The 18,155-nt window shown below is 42.7% G+C and overlaps 1 annotated feature.

Annotated features, from left to right (window-relative positions):
- Nucleotides 17,862-18,131: an enhancer, noted in NCBI's record as "active region_14055". NCBI's record gives its function as "activates an Ori minimal core promoter by ATAC-STARR-seq in GM12878 lymphoblastoid cells {active_cell/tissue: GM12878}" and the evidence as "EXISTENCE:reporter gene assay evidence [ECO:0000049][PMID:35858748]".

Here is an 18,155-nt window from a genome sequence, read left to right as displayed (position 1 = left end):
GAAATAACAACCAACCTGTGAGATTAATAGGGAAGCTATGGTTGTGTTGGATACCTTAGCTTTGGAGGGTAGGGACCTCCAATATTGTCATTGATCATTTATTTCCATTATCTAACATATCTTTTTTTTTTTTTTTTGAGACAGGGTCTTTCTCTGTCATCAGGCTGGAGTGTGATCTTGGCTCACTGCAACCTCCGCCTCCTGGGTTCAAGCCATTCTCCTGCCTCAGCCTCCGGAGTAGCTGGGATTACAGGCGCCCACCATCACGCCCAGCTAATTTTTTTTTTTTTGTATTTTTAGTAGAGACGAGGTTTCACCATGTTGGCCAGGATGGTCTTGATCTTCTGACCTCATGATCCACCCGCCTCGGCCTCCCAAAGTGCTGGGATTACAGGCGTGAACCACCGCGCCTGGCCTTTTTTTTTGTTTAGACGGAGTCTCACTCTGTTGCCAGGCTGGAGTGCAGTGGCGTGATTTTGGCTCACTGCAACCCCCTCCTCCCAGGTTCAAGTGATTCTGCTGCCTCAGCCTCCTGAGTAGGCTACATGTGTGTGCCACCACGCCCAGCTAATTTTTGTATTTTTAGTAGAGACGGGGTTTCACCATGTTGGCCAGGATGGTCTCAATCTCTTGACCTCGTGATCCACCTGCCTCAGCCTTCCAGAGTGCTGGGATTACAGGCATGAGCCACTGAGCCTGGCCTATCTAACATATCTTATTAAAACACTGAGGAACTGCTCAGGTTTGATGTATGCTGGGGAACAATACAGTCCTACATCCCTGGGATGAACAGTAATGATTCCCCATAAACAAAGGTGTAGATATGGTTCATCTTTATTTTTATAATGGATAAAATTTTTGAGACATGTAAAGCATGATCATGAATTTGGACATGAGTATTTAGGATTTGAGATTTCCTATTGATTTGGGCCACAGGTGTTGATGATGTTTACATTTCTGTTTAATGTCATTTTAAAGATTCTTAAGTTGCCTTGGATATTTGACATGATCATTTTGCTGTTGTGCAGACTGAATGACCCAATATGTACCACCCAAAAAATCTATGGATGTTTAGAGGGTAATTTTCAAGGAATAATGGAGGTGAGCTGCAGACAGGGAATCATTTTGCATAATAGCCTAATTTAATGGAAAGGAAGAATATTTGGTGTCATCATATAAGGAAAAATTTAATGCCTTCTTACAAGAGTAGTAGTTTGAATCTTTTTGTTTCAATGCTTCCAGAAAGTCCCCAGATCCCAATTTGGTATTCACATGTTTGGGAAGAGTGGGGGGAAAGTAAAATATTTGTGTCTTACTAAATTTGAGCAAAGGAAATAAAATCTTTGTCCATTTTTTTTCAGTGGTAACTTATGTTAGTACTTAGCACTGTGATTTCATAATTATAAGTATCTCATTTGATTGCTCAACCAATCAGTTCTCCCATCTTACAGATGAAGAAAGTTAAGTACAGGGCACAGGATCCTACCCAAACTCACGTAACTCAGAATCATGGAATCTCTGGATTTTGAAGTCCTAATGTGTGCCACCACCTGTACTGGGCACTGCCAAAAAAAAAAATTTTTTTTTTTTTGAGACTGTCTTGCTCTGTCACCCAGGCTGGAGTGCAGTAGTGCAATCTTGGCTCAACTGCAACCTCCACCTCCTGGGCTCAAGTGATCCTCCCACCTCAGCCTCCCAAGTAACTGGGACCACAGGTGCACACCACCACAGCTGACTTTTTTCTTTTTTCGTAGAGATGGGGTTTTGCCATGTTGCCCAGACTGGTCTCAAACTCCTGAGCTCAAGTGATCCACCTGCTTCAGCCTCCCAAAATACTGGGATTATAGGCGTGAGCCACCATGCCCAGCCAAAAACTTTAAACTTAGAAGAACATTGCAAGGTTTGTATAATTATATCCTTTTAAAATATTCATATTTTAAAACTTATTTTAAAATTTGTTTTGCAATACTTACACACTTTTTCTGCCACATGGGATGGAAGTGAGAACAATTCACTCTTTTTTTTTTTTTTTTTTTTTGAGACGGAGTCTCGTTCTGTCACCCAGGCTGGAGTGCAGTGGCGTGACCTCAGCTCGCTACAAGCTCTGCCTCAGGTTCACTCCGTTCTCCTGCCTCAGCCTCCTGAGTAGCTGGGACTACAGGCACCCACCATCACGCCCGGCTAATTTTTTTGTATTTTTAGTAGAGATGGGGTTTCACTGTGTTAGCCAGGATGGTCTTGATCTCCTGACCTCATGATCCGCCCATCTCGGCCTCCCAAAGTGCTGGGAATACAGGCATGAGCCACTGCACCCGGCCTAACAATTCACTCTTAAGATCAAATGGATGTGGCCCTATAACGAGGTGTGTGGGTGTGTGTGTATGTGTGTGACAGAGAGCCCCAATAATTCAATACATATTAAACTCTTCTATGTAACATGTCCTTTGTAGGTTTCATAGTGAACAAACCTTAGCTAATAGTGTTCCCTTGAAGCTGACATTCTAGGAGGCAAGAAATGAGATACAAGCAAAATCACATGATGTATCAGATGGTGGTTAGTCCTAAAGAGGGAAAGGAAGCTGGGGAACATTGCAGAGGGCCTGGGCTGTTGATGTCTCTGGGGGCATCTGTTGGTGTATCTAGGGCTTTAATCACTGAGGGTTTGTAAGTTTGGAAGTTTGTGTGTCTGTGTCTGGGTTTGTCCACCTGTATGTGCAGTGATCAAGTCTGTGCGATGTTGTATGTCTGTCTGAGGGGCTATGTATGTATGCCCTTTAATATCTGGAGTGCTTTCATTTCATTTTCTTACCTAATTGCCCTGGTAGCACCTTCTTTAACATGTTGAATAGAAGTGATAAAAGCAGACACTCTTGTTCTTGATCTAAGATAAAAAGCGTTCAATCTTTCACCATCAAGTATGATGTTAGCTGTTTCTCATAGCTGCCTTATAGCACATTGAGAAAGTTCCATCCTATTTGTACTCTATTGAGTATTTTCATTGTAAAATGGTATTGGCCTTTGTCATATTCATTACCTGGCCAGGTGTGAGCCACGCCTATAATTCCAACACTTTGGGAGGCTGAGGCAGGAGGATTACTTGAGGCCAGGAGTTTGAGATCAGCCTGGGCAATATAGCAAGACCTCGTCTTTACAGAAAAATTTAAACATAAGCTGAGTGTTGTGGTGCATGCCTGTAGCCCTAGCTACTCAGAAGGCTGAGGTGGGAGGATCACTTGAGCCCAGGAGTTCAAGGCTGCAGTGAGCTATGATTACACCACTGTACTCCAGCCTAGGTGACAGAGCAAGACCCTGTCTAAAAAAAAAAAAAATCATTTTCTGTGCCTTTTGGGATGATCCTATGATAATAGATCCCTTATTCTGTAAATATGGTATATTAATATATATTTATATGCGAAACCAACATTGCTTTTCTGAGCTCAATCCAACTTGGTCATGTTGTATAGGTCTTTTTATATATTGCTGGATTCAATTTGCTGGTATTTTGTCGGGCCTCTGCAGCTATATTCAAAAGAGATATTTCTGGACCATTTTCTACTATGTAGTATAGCATTATCTAGTATAGCCTATAGTGTGTTTACATGTACATTTATAGATATATTTGTGTATATAATATGTAATATATTACATAATGATATATAATTGTATATATAAAACATAACTGGTATATGTTATGTATAACTAAAATATATAATTACTATTATACTATAATGCATAATACAGTTTTATACTATTATAGCATAGTTATATAGTCTTTGTCTCTTGTATAAGGGGTTTCAGATCCTTGCTAACCCACACATTATTCAAAGAAGTGAATCACATCCTCCCAGGGGAACCAAGGGGTACCTCACCCTTTTGATACTACAAAGCCTGTTTCCCACAGCCATGTTTGGGCCCTCTGCTCCCAAATACATTTTCTTTGTGGATCTGCATGACTTATGGTACCCTCCTCATCTGGGCTGTGAATATATATGACTAATAAACTGTTGTCAGTTGCATTTGTCCAGTGATGGATATCATGTGTTAGCCTACCTAAATAGCCCTAGGGCCCTAATTCCTCTCTCACCAATGGGGTGAGTGGGAGGCTATTGAAACATGCACATCCATGATACCCCATGGTCAGGCACTGATGAGCAAAGAAAAGAAGGTACATTTGGTATCAATCCTTTCCAAAGCATGAGAGGATGTAACTCAACTGTTCTTCCAAAGCAAAACAAGTAGCCAGGGGGCTACATTGTTTTCTGTAGTACTGCTGCTTACCAGCATGTCAAAGGGATAATCTTGAGATCACAAGGCCGTTGGTTCCCACCAGGGTCTTAGGCAAAATTACCTTGTTGGATGTGGGTGCTAATCTCAGAAAGATTGAGTGGCAATCCCTGGAGTCAGAGGTGGTCCTATCCAATGTAGGTTGCTGGTGTCCTGAACTTTTCCCCATAATCACACAGATGGTCCATAATACAGGTGATCAGTCAGAGCCAACCAACCTGAAACTCGCAACTTTATATGAATTCTGAGGGATTTTTTACAGAAAGAAAAGGGAAAAGCAATGATTAGGTGGCATGCTCAGGTCCATAAACCTAATAGCAGATAGAAGCAAATTTCTCCCACTTGATAAAGAACCTCTAAAAAGAAGCCAAGCTAAGATCATACTTAATTTTGATATCTAGATGCTTTCCCACTGAGATCAGGAACGAGGTAAGGATGCCTCCTCTCACCACTGCTATTCATCATCATCCTAGATGTCCTCACTAATGGAATAAAACAAGAAATTTTTTCTTCAATTAATTGAAGTTCCTCTAAGGCCTCTTTGGACAGGGAGCATTTACTGTTTAAGTTAGAATCACCTCGTAAGGTAGAAAAGAGGTGAGACATAGCATAAGTAGGAATGCCTAAAGTGGGACAAATCCAATTAATGTCTCCTAATGATTTTTAAAATTATTTAGTCTATAAATTATCTCTTCTAATTTGAACTTTTTGAGGTTTAATAGTACTTTGTTTTACTTTCATTCGTAAATACTGAAAGGGAGTAGAAGTTTGGATTTTATTGGGGGCTATGATTAACCCTGCTGCAGTTACAGCCTTTTCTAACTGTTTGTAGCATAGCATTAATCCTCCCTAGTTTCAGCTGCACATAAAATATCACCCACGTAGTGGATAATATAACATTTTTTGAATTGTTCTCTAACTAGCTTAATAGCTTTTCCAACATAAGTTTGACAAATAGTCGGGCAATTTAACATGCCTTGTGGCAGTACTTTTCAATGGTATCTGTCCGCTGGTTCTTTGTTATTTATAGTGGGAACAGTAAAAGCAATTTTTTCATAATCTCGAGTAGCTAAAGGAATGGTAGAAAAGCAATTTTTTAAATCTATTACTATGAGAGGTCAGTATTTTGGGATCATTGTTGGAGAGGGCAGCCCTGGTTCAGTGAGCCCATGGGCTGAATTATAGCATTAACAGCCCTCAAATCTGTTAACATTCTCCATTTCCCTGATTTTTTCTTAATAACAAACACAGGAGAATTCCAAGGGGAGAAAGTAGGCTCTATGTGTCCCTTTTGTAATTGATCCTGCACTAATTCTTTTAAAGCCTCCGGTTTTTCCTGTTTCAGCGGCCATTGCTCCACCCAAACCGGTTTGGCAGTTAACCAAACAAGCGGAATGGGAGCCGGAGGCTCAGCAATTGCAGCTCCTAAAAATGATACCCTGATCCAGTTCGATCTGTTTGCCTTTTTAGTTCTAAAGGTTCTGGTTGGCCATTTTTATTTTTTTTTTCCTAGTCCCTTCCCTGGGAGATATCCCATTTTTCTCATCATTTGTTTACTGTTATTATTATACTGATCCATAGGAATAGATATTTTAGCACTCCATTGTTGTAATAAGTCTCTACCCCATAGATTGACAGGAATAGGTGTAACAATAGGTTGAATTGTCCCTTCTTGGCCATCCAGCCCTTGGCATGGCAAAATTAAAGAACTTTAAAAAATTCTGAGGCAGCCCCTACTCCAACAATACCAATGGATGCCTTCTGCTTAGGCCAATGCCGGGGCCATTGATTTAAACCAATAATAGAAACATCAGCTCCAGTATCTACTAACCCTTCAAAGTCCTTTCCTTGAATGGTTACTGTACAAATAGGTCTCTTATCAGACACTTGATTAACCCAATATACAGCTTTTCCTGCTGGATTCGTACCACCAAAGCCTCCTATTTTTTTTTTTTCTACTGTGCCTCTTCCCAGTTTTGCATAAGGTAACAGTAACAACTGAGCAATTCTTTCTCCTGGGAAAGCAGACCATGGAATTGAGGAACTAATAACTAACTGAATCTCTCCGGTATAATTAGAATCAATTATTTATGTACAGCGACACCTCTTAAATTTAAATTAGACCTTCCAAGCAATAGACCAACTGTTCCTGAGGGTAAAGGGCTCCTAACTCTCATGGGACGTTCTTTGGTGGCTCCCCAGGAAGTAGGGAAACGGGAATTGTGCTGCAGAGATCTACAGCAGCGCTGCCTGCTGTGGCGGGGGACAATTGTTGTATGTTTGTAAGGGCACTGACTGTGCCGGATATGCCTCAGTTTGTTGAGGGGCCCAAGGTGGGCCCCTATTCCCGTTTCCCGAAAGAGGTTGCCCATCTTTGCTAGATTTAGAATGACACTGATTTGCCCAGTGATTGCCCTTCTTACATTGGGGGCATACACCTGGACTTTTCTGTTGATTGATGGCAATAGTTTTTGCCTTCTGATTTCCTTTTCTACATTCCTCTTTTATGTGTCCAAATTGCCCACAATTAAAACAAGAGCCTGAGAAATGGGGCATATTTTTTCCCACCTTTAGTCAAGCCATAGCTGGACTAAAATTTTCCCCAGTGCCATCACAAGCCTTAATATATTCAGCCAAATGAGTCTTCCCTCTCATAGGTCTAATGAAAGAAGGATATTTTTACCCTGTAACATTTTTTTTCCATGCCTGTAAGCACACAGTGCATAACTGAACAATGGCAACATTTTTCATTACTGCTTGATTGTCTAATCGGCCCCAATTAGGGCCCAACCCCATTAACTGTTCAAAGGAAACAGGCACAGGCAGCTGTGCTTGTGTGTTTTCTCTTGCCTGAGTTTGAGCTTTATCAGCCCACCAAGTTTTAAACTGCAAACACTGAGATGGAGTGAGAACAGATTTTGTTAAAGTATCCCAGTCATATGGTATTAATCTATTATCAAGAGCCACATTTTTTAGTAAAGTTTGTACAAAAGGAGAATTTGGCCTATATTGACTAATGGCTTGCTTGAATTCCTTTAACAACTTAAAAGGAAAGGTGGCCCAACTAGCTATATTCTGTCCTCCTCTCTGGATTATAGTAATGGGAAATTGCCATGCTTCTAGGTCTCCTTCAGTTCTAGCCTTCTGAATAAAATTTTATATCGCATCACCAATTGCTCCAGGTTTTAATGTTGCAGCTACCGGAGCGGTAAGTTTTACAGCTAATTCATCTTCTCACCCATTAGGGGGAGAGGGAGGAGGTGGCCATTCACTTAATTCAGCAGGTGGAACCGAAGGGCTAGTAAAATATACCTTTTTCAGTTTCCATTTCTTTTCTTTAATTTCTTCCGGTTGCTGTTCCTCATATTCAGAATCTGAAGTTAATTTTTTACACTCATCTACCTCTTCCTCATCTGAATCTGCCTTGTCATCTGTTTGAAATGGCTCAAGAACTGCCTTTATCAACTCCCACACTGACCAAACAGAAACTGGAATTTTGGCTCCTTCTTTATATGCGTTTTTAAAATTTCTGCCAATTCTTCCCCATTCATCTAGCTCCATTGTCCTTTGTTCTGGGAACCATGGGCAAAACTGCTCTACTGTATCAAAGAGTGTTAATAAGTTCTGAGTATTAACTTTCACTCCCCCTCTCCATAATAAATGCCTTAAGAAATTTAAATAAGCAGAATATTTACTTTCATTCTGTTCCATTGTTAACCTGGTTCTTCTGAGTGCTCAGCTTACCCACCAAGCTTCTTTCAGTCGTCCTTGGGTGTCCTCTGACAATGTGTCCTCCGCTTCCGCACACTCTAGTGTTCCTTCACCGGAGTGTTCGTAGCCCCACGTTGGGTGCCAGAAATGTTGGGGTGATCAGACCCAACACCAGGCCGTGGGGGCTACAAACTCCAGCGTAGTCAAAGGAATGAGAAAAGACAAGTTAAGAGTGCATAAGGTGGGTCCAGGGGGCCAACGCTGGTATGGATGCTGCGAAGGCCCTGAGCTCTGGGAGCCCACATTATTTATTGGTGATCAAACAAAGAAGCAGGTCTTGAGGACGTAGGGGTAAACAGGTGAGGGTGTGAGGTTAGAAAGGTAGTGGTGCATCAAGCGTATCTGTGATGGTTTAGCATTTTCTTTGATGCATATATAATATGCTCTGCTGCTTGGAGATAATAGAGAACATGTTTACGAACCTGGGAGAGCAACCAACAAGTCTGTGCACATTCCAGAGGCTACGAGGGGTTTTATGCCCTAAGCCCTGGATTCCATCCAAGCCATGAGGGGTTTTATGCCCTGGGCTTAGATTTGTGGTGCGGCAGGGCAGCCTTCCACCCCTTGGCACAGAGTTTGGTGTTCCAAAGGCCACGAGGGGTTTTAGACCCTGGACCCCAGACATCTTCCAAGACTCTTTTATATTATGACAGATAAGCCAGTCCTGCCTCAGCTCTTCTACCAACAAGTAGAAAGCAAAACCAGGCTGAATTCAGCTGATGCCCACCCACAGAGGGAGCATTTAAATCAGCTCTAGTGGCTAGTAAGGTGAGCTGGATCTTCCTGCCCACTCTCTTAAAAAACTTGAGTTTTGGCCGGGTGCGGTGGCTCACACCTGTAATCCCAGCACTTTGGGAGGCCAAGGCAGGCGGATAACCTGAGGTCAGGAGTTCGAGACCAGCCGGACGAACAAGGAGAAACCTCGTCTCTACTAAAAATACAAAATTAGCTGGGTGTGGTGGTGTATGCCTGTAATCCAAGCTACCTGGGAGGCTGAGGCAGGAGAATAGCTTGAACCCAAGAAGTGGAGGTCACGGTGAGCCGAGATTGTGCCATTGCACTCCAGCCTGGGCAACAAGAGTGAAACTCCATCTCAAAATAAGTAAATAAATAAATAAATAAATAGTCAGCTCTAGTCAGGGGGGAATTACCCATCCCAGTGGCTGGAACTTGAGTTCCAGTGAGCCTCACGACTGTGGGCTAAAATGCTCTGGAATCCTAAGTAAACTTGAAGGGCTGTCTAGGCCACAAGGACTGCAACTCTGAGGCAATTCCTAGTACTGAGCTGGGCTCAGAGCCAGTGGACTTGGTGGGCATGTAACCTAGTAAGACAACAGTTAGGGCAGCTAAGGGAGTGCTTGTGCCACCCCTCTCCCAATCCCAGGCAGCACAGCTCACGGCTCCAAAAGAGACCCCTTCCTTCTGCTTGAGGTGAGGAGAGGGAAGAGTAAAGAGAACTTTATCTTGCACTTTGTATACCAGCTCAGCCACAGTAGGATAGGCCACCAGTCATAGTCATTAGGTCCCCTTTGCAGGCCCTAGCTCCTGGATGACATTTCTAAACACATCCTGGGCCAGAAGGAAACCCACTGCCTTGAAGGAAAGGACTCAGTTCTGGAAGGACCCATCACCTGCTGACTGAAGAGTCCTTGGGCCCTGAATAACCAGCAGCAATACCCTGATAGTACACCATAGGCCTTGAGTGAAACTCAGAACATTCTCAGCTGTGGTGGCTATAGGGAGAGACTCCTTCTGCTTGAAAAAAGTTGAGGGAAAAGCAAAAGAGACTTTTGCATGTTCGGTACCAGCTTGTCCACAGTGGGGTAGGCACCAAGTGGGTTGTTGGGATCCCTGATTCCAGGCCTTGGATCTTGGATGGCATTTCTGGACCTTCCCTGAGCCAGAGGGGAGCCCACTGCACTGAAGGGTGAATCCCAGGCCAGGCAGCTTCACCACAAGCTGACTCAAGAGCCTTTGGTCTCTAAGAGAACATTGACAGTAGCCTGGCAGTACTCCCCATGGGCCTTTGGTGGTGGTGGCCATGGGGTGAGGCTTCTCTGCCTGTGGAAAGGGGAGGGAAGAGTGGAAAGGACTGCATCTCATGATTTGAGTGCCAGCTCAGCCACAGTACAATTAGAACACCAGGTAGACTTCTGAGTTTTTTTACTCCAGTCACTGGCTCCTGCATAGCACCTCTTGACCCACACAGGGCCTGGGGGAACCTGCCACCCTGAAGGGAAGGAAACAAGCCTGGCTGGTATTGCCACCCACTGGTTGTAGAGCCTCAGCGCCTTGAGCAAACACAGGTGGTAGCCAGGTAGTGGTTACAGCAGGCCTTGGGTAAGACCCACTGCTGTGCTCACTTCAGGTCTGACCCGGCATAATCTCAGTGATGGTGGCCACCAGGGTGCTTGTGTCACCCCAGCCCCAGCTCCAGGTGGCTCAGAACAGAGCAAGAGAGAGACATGCTGTTTGGAGTAAAGAGAAGAGACCAGGCCAGGCGCAGTGACTCATGCCTGTAATCCCAGCACTTTGGGAGGCCGAGGCAGATGGATCACCTGAGATCAGGAGTTCGAGACCAACCTGACCAACATGGAGAAACCCCATCTCTACTAAAAATACAAAATTATCCGGGTGTGGTGGTGCATGCCTATAATCCCAGCTACTCAGGAGGCTGAGGCAGGAGAATCGCTTGAACTCAAGAGATGGAGATTGCGGTGAGCTGAGATTGTGCCATGGCACTCCAGCCTGGGCAACAAGAGTGAAACTCCATCTAAAAAAAAAAAAGAAAGAAAGAAAGAAAGAAAAGAAAAGAGAGAACAGAACAAGCATCTCTGCCTGGTAATCCAGAGAATTCTTCTGGATCTTATCCAAGATAATCAAGGTGGTACCTCTAAGAGTCTGCAAGAACCACAGTGTTACTGGGCTTGGGATGCCCCTTAATGTAGAGATGCCTTAGATCACAAGACCTAAGTCCTTTCAAATATCTAAAAAACTTTCCCAACAAGGATGAGTACAAACAAGCCCAGATTGAGAAGACTACAATAAATACCTAACTCTTCAATGCTCAGACAGGGATAAATGTCCACAAGCATCAGAACCATCCAGGAAAATGTGACCTCACCAAATGAACTAAATAAGGCACCAGAGACGAATCCTGGAGAAATGGAGATTTGTGACCTTTCAGGCAGAGAATGCAAAGTAGCTGTTTTAGGAAACTCAAAGAAATTTAAGATAACAGAGAGAAGGAATTCAGAATTCCATCAGATAAATGTAATGAAGAGATTGAAATAATTTAAAAGAATCAAGGCCAGGCACAGTCACTCATGCCTTTAATCCCAGCACTTTGGGAGGCCAAGGTGGGTGGATCACCTGAGGTCAGGAGTTCCAGACCAGCCTGGACAACATGGTGAAACCCCATCTCTACTAAAATATAAAAATTAGTCAGGCATGGTGGCACATGTCTGTAATCCCAGCTACTCGGGAGGCTGAGGCATGAGAATTGCTTGAACCTGGGAGGCAGGGTTGTGGTGAGCTGAGATCACGCCACTGCACTCCAGCCTGGGTGACAGAGTGAGACTTCATCTCACAAAAAAAAAAAAAAAAAAAAAAAGAAGAAGAAGAATCAAGCAGAAATCCTGGAGTTCAAAATGCAGTTGACATACTGAAGAATGCATCAGTCTCTTAATAGCAGAATTGATCAAGCAGAAGAAATAATTAGCTTGGGCCAGGCTCAGTGGCTCACACCTGTAATCCCAGCACTTTGGGAGGCCAAGGTGGGCGGATCACGAGATCAGGACATTGAGACCATCCTGGCTAACACGGTGAAACCCCGTCTCTACTAAAAATACAAAAAATTAGCCAGGTGTGGTGGTGGGTGCCTGTAGTCCCAGCTACTCGGGAGGGTGAGGCAGGAGAATGGCATGAACCTGGGGGGCGGAGCTTGCAGTGAGCCGAGATAGCACCATTGCACTCCAGCCTGGGCGACAGAGCAAGACTCCGCCTCAAAAAAAAAAAAAAAAGAAAGAAAGAATTAGCTTGAAGACAGACTACTTGAAAATAGTCAGAGGAGGCAAAAGAAAACAGAATAAAAAACATTGAAGCCCCAGCACTTTGGGAGGCCGAGGCGGGCGGATCACGAGGTCAGGAGATCGAGACCATCCTGGCTAACACGGTGAAACCCCGTCTCTACTAAAAATACAAAAAAAAATTAGCCGGGCGAGGTGGCGGGCGCCTGTAGTCCCAGCTACTCGGGAGGCTGAGGCAGGAGAATGGCGTGAACCCCAGGGGGCGGAGCCTGCAGTGAGCCGAGATTGCGCCACTACACTCCAGCCTGGGCGACAGCGAGACTCCGTCTCAAAAAAAAAAAAAAAAAAAAAAAAAACATTGAAGCATGCCTACAGGATCTAGAACATAGCCTCAAAAGGGCAAATCTAAGAGTCATTGGCTTTAAAGAGGTGGTAGAGAAAGAGATAGGAGTATAAAGTTCATTCAAAGGGATAATAACAGAGAACTTCCCAAACCTAAAGAAAGATATCAATATCCAACCACAAGAAGGTTATAGAACACCAAGCAGATTTAACCCAAAGAAGACTACCTCAAGGCATTTAGTAATCAAACCCTCAAAGGTCAAGGATAAAGAAGGGACTCTAAAAGCAGCAAGAGAAAAGAAACAAATAACAAACAATGGAGCTCCAATACAACTGGCAGAAGACTTTTCAATAGAAACCTTACAAACCAGGAGGGAGCAGCATGACATATTTAAAGTGCTGAAGGAAAAAAACTTTTATCCTTGAATAGCATATTCAGTGAAAATATCCTTCAGACATGAAGGAGAAATAAAGACTTTACCAGACAAACAAAAGTTGAGGGATTTCATCAACACCAGTCCTATTCTACAAGAAATACTAAAGGAACTACATCAATCACAAAAGGATGTACAATAAGGAATCATCTGAAGATACAAAACTCACTGGTATTAGTAAGTACACACACACAAAAATAATATTGTATGCCGGGCTCGGTGGCTGACGCCTGTAATCCTAGCACTTTCGGAGGCTGAGGTAGGTGGATCACCTGAGGTCAGGAGTTTGAGACCAGCCTGGCCAACATGGTGAAACCCGGTCTCTACTAAAAATACAAAAATTAGCCAGGCATGGTGGTGTGTGCCTGTAATCCTAGCTACTAGCGGGGCTGAGGCAGGAGGATCACATGAACCTGGGAGGTGGAGGTTGCAGTGAGCTGAGATCATACCACTGCATTCCAGCCCAGGCAACAGAGTGAGACTCCATCTCAAAAAAAAAAAAAAGCCTGGGCGCGGTGGCTCACGCCTGTAATCCCAGCGCTTTGGGAGGCTGAGGTGGGCGGATCACGAGGTCAGGAGGTCGAGACCATCCTGGCTAACACGGTGAAACCCCATCTCTACTAAAAATACAAAAAATTAGCCGGGCGTGGTGGCGGGCACCTGTGGTCCCAGTTACTCGGGAGGCTGATGTAGGAGAATGGCGTGAACCTGGGAGGCAGAGCTTGCAGTGAGCCGAGATCGCACCACTGCACTCCAGCCTGGGCGACAGAGACTCCATCTCAAAAAAAAAAAAAAGAATATTGTAACACTGTAACTGTGGTGTGTAAATTATTCTTTTTTTTTTTTTTTTCCTGAGACAGAGTCTCGCTCTGTCACCCAGGCTGGAGTGCAGTGGCGCGATCTCGGCTCACTGCAAGTTCCACCTCCTGGGTTCACGCCATTCTCCTGCCTCAGCCTCCCAAGTAGCTGGGACTACAGGCACCTGCCACCATGCCCGGCTAATGTTTTGTATTTTTAGTACAGACAGGGTTTCACCGTGTTAGCCAGGATGGTCTCGATCTCCTGACCTTGTGATCTGCCCGCCTTGGCCTCCCAAAGTGCTGGGATTACAGGCTTGAGCCACCGCGCCTGGCCGTAAATTATTCTTAAGTAGAAAGAATAAATGATGAACAAATCCAAAATAATAACTACAACAACTTTTCAAAACACAGACAGTACAAGCAATATATAAATAGAAACAAAGAAAAGTTAAGAAGCGGGTATGATGTTAAGGCATAGAGTTTTCATTAGATTTCTTTTTGTTTGTTTCTTTGTTTATACAACAGCATTAAGTTGTCATCAGCTTAAAATTATGGGTTATAAGATAGTATTTGCAAACCTCATGGCAACCTCAAGTCAAAAAATGTACAACAGATACACAAAAAATAAAAAGTAAGAAGTTAAATCATACCACAAGAGAAAGTCACCTTCACTAAAAAGAAGACAGGATGGAAGGAAAGAAGGGAGAGAAGATGAAAAAACAACCAGAAAACAAATAACAAAATGGCAGGAGTAAGTTCTCACTTACTAATAATAACACTGAATGTAAATGAATTAAACTATCCAATCAAAAATCATAGAATGGCTAAATGGATTAAAAAAACAAGACCTAATGATCTGTTGCCCACAAGAAACACACTTCACCTATAAAGAAACCCATAGACTGGAAATAAAGGAATGGAAAAACATATTCCATGCCAGTGGAAACCAATAAAGAGCAGGAGTAGCAATACTTAGACAAAATATATTTCGAGACAAAAACTGTAAGAAAAGTCAAAGAAGGTCACTATGCAATTATAAAGAGGTCAATTCAGCAAGACGATGTAACAATTGTGAACATATATGCACCCAACATTGGAGCACTCAGATATAGAAAACATATATTATTAGGTAAAAAGAGAGAGGGCCGGGCATGGTGGCTTATGCCTGTAATCCCAGCACTTTGCGAGGCCAAGGCAGGTGGATCACCTGAGGCCAGGAGTTCAAGACCAGCCTGGCCAACATGGCAAAACCCCGTCTCTACTAAAAATACAAAAAATTAGCCAGGTGTGGTGGTGGGCACCTGTAATCCTAGCTACTTGGGAGACTGAGGCAGGAGAATTGCTTGAACCTTGGAGGTGGAGGCTGCAGTAAGCCAAGATTGCACCACTACACTCCAGCCTAGGCAACAAGAGTGAAACTCTGTCTCAAAAAAAAAAAAAAAAAGAGAGAGAGAGAGATAGACACCAATACACTAATAGCTGGAGATTTTAACACCCCATATTCAGAACTGGACAGATCTTCCAGACAGTAAATCAACAAAGATTATTTCAATATATACTGAAAAATTGGACAAAAGAAAGATTAAATGGGATTTAATCTACACTATAGATCAAATGGACCTAATAGATATTTACAGCACATTTTATCCAACAGCTACAGAATACACATACTTTTCCTGAGCACAGGAATCATTCTCAAGGATAGACCATATGTTAGGTCAAAAAACATGTCTTAAAACGCTCCGAAAAATTGAAATAATATAAATTGTGTCACAGAATAAGTGGAATAAACTAGAAACCAATGACAAGAGGAATTCTGGAAACCATACAAACATATGGAAATTAAACAATACGCTCCTGAATGACGAGTGGGTCAATGAAGAAATTAAGAAGAAAATTGAAAAGTTTCTTCAAACAAATGATAATGAAAATGCAACATACCAAAACCTATGGAATACAGCAAAAGCAGTACTAAGAGGGAAGTTTATAGATATAAGCACCTACATCAAAAAAGAAGAAGACCTTCAGGCTGGGTGCAGTGGCTCCCATCTGTAATCCCAGCACTTTAGGAGGCCAAAGGGAGTGGATCACCTGAGGTTAGGAGTTCGAGACCAGCCTGGCCAACATGGTGAAACCCTGTATCTACTAAAAATACAAAAAATGACATGGTGGTCGGTGCCTGTAATCCCAGCTACTTGGGAGGCTGAGGCAGGAGAACTGCTTGAACCCAGAAGGCAGAGGTGGCAGTGAGCTGAGATTGCGCCATTGCACTCCAGCCTAGGCTGCAAGAGTGAAGTGAAACTCATCTCAAAAAAAAAAAAAGAAGAAGAAGAAAACCTTCAAATAAACAACCTAAGAATGCATCTTAAAGAATTAGAAAAGCAAGAGCAAACCAAACCCAAAATCAGTAGAAGAAAAGAAATAATAAAAATCAGTAGAAATAAATGAATTTGAAATGAAGAAACAATAGAAAAGAACAATGAAACAAAAAGTTGGTTTTTTGAAAAGACAAACAAAATTGACAAACCTTGAGGTAGACTAAGAAAAAACCAGGCCCAAATAAATACAATTAGAGGTGAAAAAGGAGACATTACAGTTGATACTGCAGAAATTCAAAGGATCATTAATGCAACTAAGAACAACTATATGCCAATAAACTGGAAAACCTAGAAGAAACTGATAAATTCCTAGGCAGATAGAACATAGCAACATTGAACCATGAAGAAATAAAAAACCTGAACAGACCAATAACAAATAATGAGATCAAAGCCATAATAAAAAGTCTCCTAGCAAAGAAAACCCCAGAACCCAGTGGCTCCACTGCTGAATTCTACCAACATTTAAAAAAGAACTAATACCAATCTTACTCAAACTATTCCAAAAAACAGAGGAGAAGGCAATACTTCCAAATTTATTTTACAAAGCCAATATTACTTTGACACCAAAACCAGACAAAGACATGTCAGAAAAAGAAAACTATAGGCCAGTGTCACTGATGAATATTGATGCAAAAATCCTCAACTCAATACTAGCAAACTGAATTTAACAATACACCAAAAAGATCATTCATCATGACCAAGTGGGCTTTATCCCTGGGATGCAAGGATGGTTCAATATATGCAAATCAATCAATGTGATGTATCATTTCAACAGAATAAAGGGCAAACACCATATAATCATTTCAATGTGCACTGAAAAAGCTTTTGATAATATTTAACATCCCTTCATGATAAAAACCCTAAAAAAAAGTGGGTAAAGAAGGAGCATACCTTAACATAATAAAAGCTATATATGGCAGACCCACAGCTAGCATGATAATGAATGGGGAAAAACTGAAAGCCCTTCCTGTAAGATCTGGAACACAATAAGAATGCCCACTTTTACCACTGTTGTTCAACACAGTACTTGAAGTCCCAGCTAGAGCAATAAGACAAAAAAAAAAAAAAGAAAAAAAAAGAAATAAAGGGCATCCATATTGGGAAGGAAGAAGTCAAATTATCCTTGTTTGCATATAATATGATCTTATATCTGGAAATACCTAAAGACTCCACCAAAAAAGTATTAGAACTGAGAAATAAATTCAGTAAAGTTGCAGTATACAATATCAACACACAAAAATCAATAACATTTTTATATGCCAACAGTGAACAATCTGAAGCTACTTGAGAGGCTGAGGTGGGAGGATTGCTTGAGCTTAGGAGGTAGAGGTTGCAGTGAGCCATGATGGCCCCACTGCACTCCAGCCTAGGTAACAGAGCAAGACCCCATCTCAAACAACCAAAAATGTGTAGAAGGATGGTTACCAGAGGCTGCGAAAAGTAGTAGCGAGGAGTAGTTATGGGGGAAGTGGGGATGGTTAATAGGTATAAAAAATAGTTACAAAGAATGAATAAGACCTAGTATTTGCTAGCACAACAGAGTGACTATAGTAAAAAATAATTTAATTGTACATTGAAAAATCTTGAAAAATTTCATTGAAAAAGAGCATAATTGGAGCCAGGCGCAGTTGCTCACGCCTCTAATCCCAGAACTTTGGGAGGCCAAGGTAGGCGGATCACGAGGTCACGAGTTTGAGACCAGCCTGGCCAACATGGTGAAACCCAGCCTCTACTGAAAAATACAAAAATTAGCCGGGTGGTGGCGCGTGCCTGTAATCCTAGCTACTCGGGAGGCTGAGGCAGGAGAATTGCTTGAACCCACCCAGGAGGCGAAGGTTGCAGTGAGCCTCGCACCATTGCACTCTAGCCTGGGCGACAGAGCAAGACTCCCTCTCGAGGAAAAAAAAAAAAAAAGATATAATTAGTTTGTCAGTCCGTGTCCAGGAGGAAGAAGCAGGAGGTCCTATTGAGTACGGGCAGGAAATTCCGCTTAAGTGCAAATATAACCCGGGAGGATTCAGATCAAAGAGCAGGGAGGAAGCCCCCCCTGCCAAGGGCTGTGTCAGGAACTTGCTCATCCGGCTCCACTCAGCTGTGCAAGATCGCTTCTTCTGTCAA

This window comes from Homo sapiens, chromosome 19 (genome assembly GCF_000001405.40).
Source record: "Homo sapiens chromosome 19, GRCh38.p14 Primary Assembly".
NCBI classification, from domain to species: domain Eukaryota; kingdom Metazoa; phylum Chordata; class Mammalia; order Primates; family Hominidae; genus Homo; species Homo sapiens.
The sequence above is the reverse complement of the archived record's forward strand: the minus strand, read 5'-3'. Positions and strand labels throughout refer to the sequence as shown.